At 37.9% G+C, this 5,452-nt stretch overlaps 2 annotated features.

The window, feature by feature from the left end:
* Positions 1,092-1,650: an enhancer, noted in NCBI's record as "NANOG hESC enhancer chr18:1969063-1969621 (GRCh37/hg19 assembly coordinates)". NCBI's record gives its function as "activates a minimal SCP1, AML or CMV promoter by ChIP-STARR-seq in naive and primed H9 embryonic stem cells {active_cell/tissue: H9 hESC(naive and primed)}" and the evidence as "EXISTENCE:reporter gene assay evidence [ECO:0000049][PMID:30033119]".
* Positions 5,060-5,229: an enhancer, noted in NCBI's record as "experimental_47822 CRE fragment used in MPRA reporter constructs". NCBI's record gives its function as "activates a minimal promoter by MPRAs in K562 erythroleukemia cells, with activity observed for both the introgressed and non-introgressed 18:1965569 variant alleles {active_cell/tissue: K562}" and the evidence as "EXISTENCE:reporter gene assay evidence [ECO:0000049][PMID:34662402]".

The following is a 5,452-nucleotide window of genomic DNA, read 5'->3' as shown; positions in this document are numbered from 1 at the left end:
TTTGATAAAATCATCTAGTATTATTCTTGTAAGGAGGTGATTGACATGAGTTACTTTCTACCCTCCTGGGTGCCAGTTTATCTTTTCCTGTAATGAAATCTGTCCCTTCTTAAGCAACTTTCTCCAAGCTTGTAAACAACCTGGGATATTTTCCTAGGTGACAGTCTCTTGTCCTACCTCCTCCTTTCATTTCTCTGGTTCGTGCTGGATTCCTGAACAGGAGATCCTCAGGAATTTCATCAAGAGTTGTCATTTTTTTTCTCTTTCTGTCCTTCTCATCCTGGACAATTCTTTCTAAAGCCACTGAAAATAGCCATGGAGTATAAGTGATCACGAAGAGCAAGTGTAGAACTTCATTGTCGACTGGGGCATATGTGTGCCAGCTCAACCACGGAAGTGAGCATCTGTTTAGAAAATCTTGGAAGTAAGGTATGAAGCTCTTTGGAGCACTCATTGTTTACCGTACTTTCATTTCAAGTCCATTTTTAGTGAGATGGATATCAGAAGGGACTCTGGCTCCTTGGAGGAGGATTCTAGGCAGTTGCAAAGCAAGTTAATTTGCTTTTTCATTTTTTGTTCTTCAATAAAATAGCTTTGAATTTAGTATCCTTTCCCTTCTCTTTCTCTTTCTTTTCCTTCCGTCTATCCATTCTTCCTTCCTTCCTTTTCTTTCTTTTATTATTTTTAACAGAAAAAGAAACTTGTATCCAGAGAGATAAAATGGCTTTTTAAGATCACATACCTCATTAGGAACATAACTGGCACTAGAATCCAAATCTCTGACTTGGATTTGGATTCTAGTGACCCAATCTAATTGGAAAGTGACCAGCATGGCAGATTCTACCCCTGACTTTATCATAGAATACAGTGAAAAGAGGACTGAAGTCAAAATTGGAGTACCCTTTTCTCATGCTAGCTCTGCAACTTAAGAGCCATGCAAGTTTAACAAGTCATTTAAACATTTTAGATTTTAATTTTTCACCAGTATAATATATATAATACCTTCCTTATAAATAAAACATAATACATTTTTGGAATGTTCTATATTTTAAGGGCACTCAATGTTAAGGTGTTATTTGGTGGGGTAATTGGGACCCAAAAGATACTTCTTTGTCATAATTACAGTTTCAATGTAAGGTTTTATTTGAATATATAGATTTAAGGTCTCCGGAACCTTATCCAAGGGCTTTAGAGCTGAGCTTCATTGTTGTGTCTTCTGAGATTTTTGTTTTTCTTATCTATACATTTTCTAATAATGGCTCTCAAAAATGCAAATGAGTCTCTAATGAGTTGCCTTAGGCTATATCCTCATGTATCTCAGGGAAGATGGAAGGTCATTAACAACCTGGATTACCAAACTTCCTCATGCTAATAAAGCCACAGCATGGGGTTTACACATTTGTATGCAGGAAAAGCAAACAGCTGATGGAAGCTCAGGGCTCCTCTGACCTTCAGTGGGCATTCCCCTGAGTACAGAAGAAGCTCTACTGTGAAGATTTAAAAATGCAAGTGCAGTTATCTCACCACAAGGCTTTCCAAGTTGTGCAGATGAAAATTCTGAAAGACATTCTATGAAAAGTTCAAAGTTGACTTCACCTAACTAAGAAGGATAAGTTTCTGCCGCAAAATGGCATGTGAAACCCAACTCTGCTCGTTCTTTTCTCAATGTCTACAGACTTTACTCACAAGCTCCAGTCAGTGGCTGAGAATCAGCTTTGCTCAGCCCTGCTAGGCCTTATATGCTGTTGAGCTACTGGTCATAGGCAGAGAGCCCCTTCTCGGATCACCTGAGGCCAGGAGTTCAAGATCAGCTTGGCCAACATGGTGAAACCCCATCTCTACTAAAAATACAAAAAATTAGCCAGGCGTGGTGGCACATGCCTGTAGTCCCAGCTACTCTGGAGGTTGAGACAGGAGAATTGCTTGAACCCGGGAGGCAGAGGCTGCAGTGAGTTGAGATTGTGCCACTGCACTCCAGCCTGGCAACAGAGTGAGACTCTGTCTCAAAAAAAAAAAAAAAAAAAAACGAAAAAAAAAAAAAAGAAAGAGAGCCCCTTCTTCTCTGGAGGACGATTTTATTTACACTATAATCATATGTTTTCTTGAGCCAAACAATGTTTTTGGCAAAAATAAAACCTCAGCAGGTAAATATAAAAGGAAAAACATAAAAGAAAAAAAAATGAAGTGACTACAGTCATGATGCTAAAAGTTCAAATACAAAGAAGTCAAATTGTGTATCTGGAGGAATTAAACATTAAAAGGCAGTGAAATGAATCTGTGTTATCTGTGTCCTGGGACACAGGCATCATATAATTTTTTATTCCTGGGTTGTGAAGCACTGCAGGAAAAATCGGCAATAAGTCTCTGTCCTCAGCCGCTCAAGTTCACGCCACCTCACTTCACCTTGCTCTTCTCCATTTCATTTTATTCATCTCACATCACTTTTGTTTCCTCGCAAGTTGTTCCTCGTATTTACCATTCATGTCAAGCCAACAATTCTACCCGTGTCTTACTAATCTTAACAGAAGATGTAAAATCCAGTTTCATTAGGAAGAGTAAAGCTGCCTGACACTGACTGCTTGAACTTCTTTTCTCTCAACTGCAAAATTTTTATTCTTACTCATCTTCCCCACGAAGAACATTTTGATCATTTTCTTTATTTTTAAACCCCTTTTCTTTTTTCAAGTCTAGTTATTCTATCTTTGCCAGATCATATCCATTTTTTTAATCTCATCTGAATTTAGTTTCCTAAACTAATTTCCTCTCTTGTTTGAGGAAGTTTCCTTTCAACTAGATTTTTTTTCTCTTTTTAAATGGACAGCTTTGACCACCTTATCCTAAACAAACATAAAATGAAAAAAAAAATTTTAAAAAGTTGCCTAAAAAGATTTCCTTGGCCATTGCAAATCATTTTTTTTTTTTTTTCAAATATGAGATCTTGCTTTGTCACCCAGGCTGGAGGGTAGTGGTGTGGTCCTAGCTCACTGCAGCCTTGAACTCGGGGGCTCAAGCGGTCCTCTTACATCAGGCTCCTGAGTAGCTTGGACTACTGGGACCACAGTACCATGCCTGGCTAGCAAATCCCTCCTTTACTCCCAAACTTCACAAAACTCTATTCTCTACATACTACTTATGCTCTCTCACTGTCTACTCTACCTCAACCCTAACATTCAGCATCTAGACTTTTCCACTGTTTACTTTATTCAAACGTGTCCGTTGCAGGCCAGATAATTTAAGACCAACCTCATATTCCAAAATCAAAGCACCAAATCACATGCAAAAGAAATACCGCAGTCGGATTCAGAATTTTGCAAAATTAGCTTCTTCTTCATCAACACATCCCTTGATCTCTGTTAGATGTTCACCCCTAGTATCTGTGGCTCATTTTGTTACCTGCAGTTAGGATGTGAAATGATGCTAAGTGTAGGTAACAACATTTTATGATCTGAAATCTCACTTTTCTTTGGTGTATTCTTCTTTCTTCTCACAAGACCTTGTCCTGAATCACTTCAGCAGTCTCAGAACCCACATGGGCTGGAGAAGCGTTGCCTGGGCTCTACCCTCCTTACTTAACAATTAGCAGTAGTCCTCATCTCATGACATCCAATGGCTTTATCTTTGTTTGTCCTTCCTGTTTTCTCTACATCCTGAGCTACTTTTGGCTACTTGCTTCTAGATTTTTGCCTTTGCTTGGACTCCATGACTATGATGTTTTTATTTTTTCTGGATTCTTCATCATTGCCTTGACCTCAGCCTTCCCACTCTCCCCCAATGTCTTCCTTCCATTCCCTTCTACCATCTTTCCACATGTTTTCCCTAGGAATTGTTATTTACCTGATGAACTTCAAATATCACTCCAAAGAATGTAGGCCTTCAATTTCTTCTCACATTTTCTCATTCTGAGCATTATCTATTGAGCAAATCCTCTTCAATCATTACTTTTACCTCCATTTCCCCCATCTACTCTTACAACTCAATTTTAGCTCAGGCTCTTCTTAACTCCTCTTTCTAGTGTTGCAATAACTTCCTAAGGAGTCACACTACTTCCAGTGGCTCTCCCCTTCAATTCATCATGATTAGCTGCCCAAATGAACTTCCCTAAGATCATCATTTTGGTTCCAAACTCCTTTTATCATTCATTATCCCATAAATCCTTTAGCCAGTGGGCTTCCCCTCCTATTTCTTCACACTGCACCGTCTCCTACAGTGTTGTCTAAACTAGACACTTTCCTCTCATTCTCGCTGTTGAAGTCTTATCTATTGTCCAAGGCCCAGGCACAATGCCACCTCTTTTATAATGCCTTTCTTAAGATATTAGACTAAAAGGAGTTCTCTCTTTGAACTCCTATAGTTCTTTGAATTATTAAAATGTCAGTTATCATAATGAACCTTGAATTACAAATTTTATGCACATATAAAGTCTGTCTTATTCCTCCAAATCTTCTGCAATGTCTATCAAACTAACTTGGAAATTGTAGAGAATAATATATGTTTCTTAAATGAATAGTAATTACTTATTTTGGAGTGTTCAGAGGCCATTCCTTCATCACAGCTCAGTTGCAGAAGGGAGAAGCATAAAAGCTTTATCATCATTTAAAAAAATCTTCATTCCTATGAGTTAGCATTAATGTATACTGGTTACTACATTTGTTTTGTGTTTGGTTGCAATCTAGGATGACAATTAATCCTTGAAATGTTTGCATGTCTCTGATCCTGCTTTCTCATGATAATTTCATTTAAATACTTGTTTCAACTTGGGTCCTTCCTTATTTTCTTCCTTCCTTCCATCCATCCAGAAATTTAGAGTTGTTGAGAAGCTTTCTTCCTTGCAGTATGCTTAAATCTAACTCACTTACACTCTGAAAAAATACCCTGGGTATTCTTTGGCTTCACTTTGGTTATGAACCCTGAACTTTATTGTCTGTTCACACACTGTGACCTTTGGTTCTGGTAATGAATGGTGTTCAGTGTCCTGAAAAGAGCACACAAAACATTTGCTAATTAAGTCAAGGCTTGTCTGAGGAGTTTTTATTGCTGTCACATTCTCTCAATATAAGCTTAAGAAGCAAAATAAGCCTAAGCTTTCTTGCTCTAAAGTTCAAGTATTACAAATTCAAAACTTGTGGCTATGTTGGGTATATGCCGAACTGTGTAAGAGTTTCCGTTTATTTCCTTTTTGGACTTTAGTTGACTAATCAGGGCTGTTTTACAATTTGCTGTTTTGCATACAATTCAGAATCAGCTTGGGGGAATTAGCATTCACAGAGATAAAAATTATTTTTGGGTAAACCCTTCTACAATCTTTATATAGTCTCCCACACAGGCCAAGACTCCAGTGTGACTTAGTTACTAAAAGTCCTTTGCTGTTTTGTAATGCTGTAATTATACTTAGATATGTATACAATAGTATGTTGTTTGAAAGTTACTTCATGTCCATGGCAACAAGCAGGTA

Source organism: Homo sapiens, chromosome 18, assembly GCF_000001405.40.
Source record: "Homo sapiens chromosome 18, GRCh38.p14 Primary Assembly".
NCBI lineage: Eukaryota > Metazoa > Chordata > Mammalia > Primates > Hominidae > Homo > Homo sapiens.
This window is presented reverse-complemented; position numbering and strand designations above follow the sequence as displayed.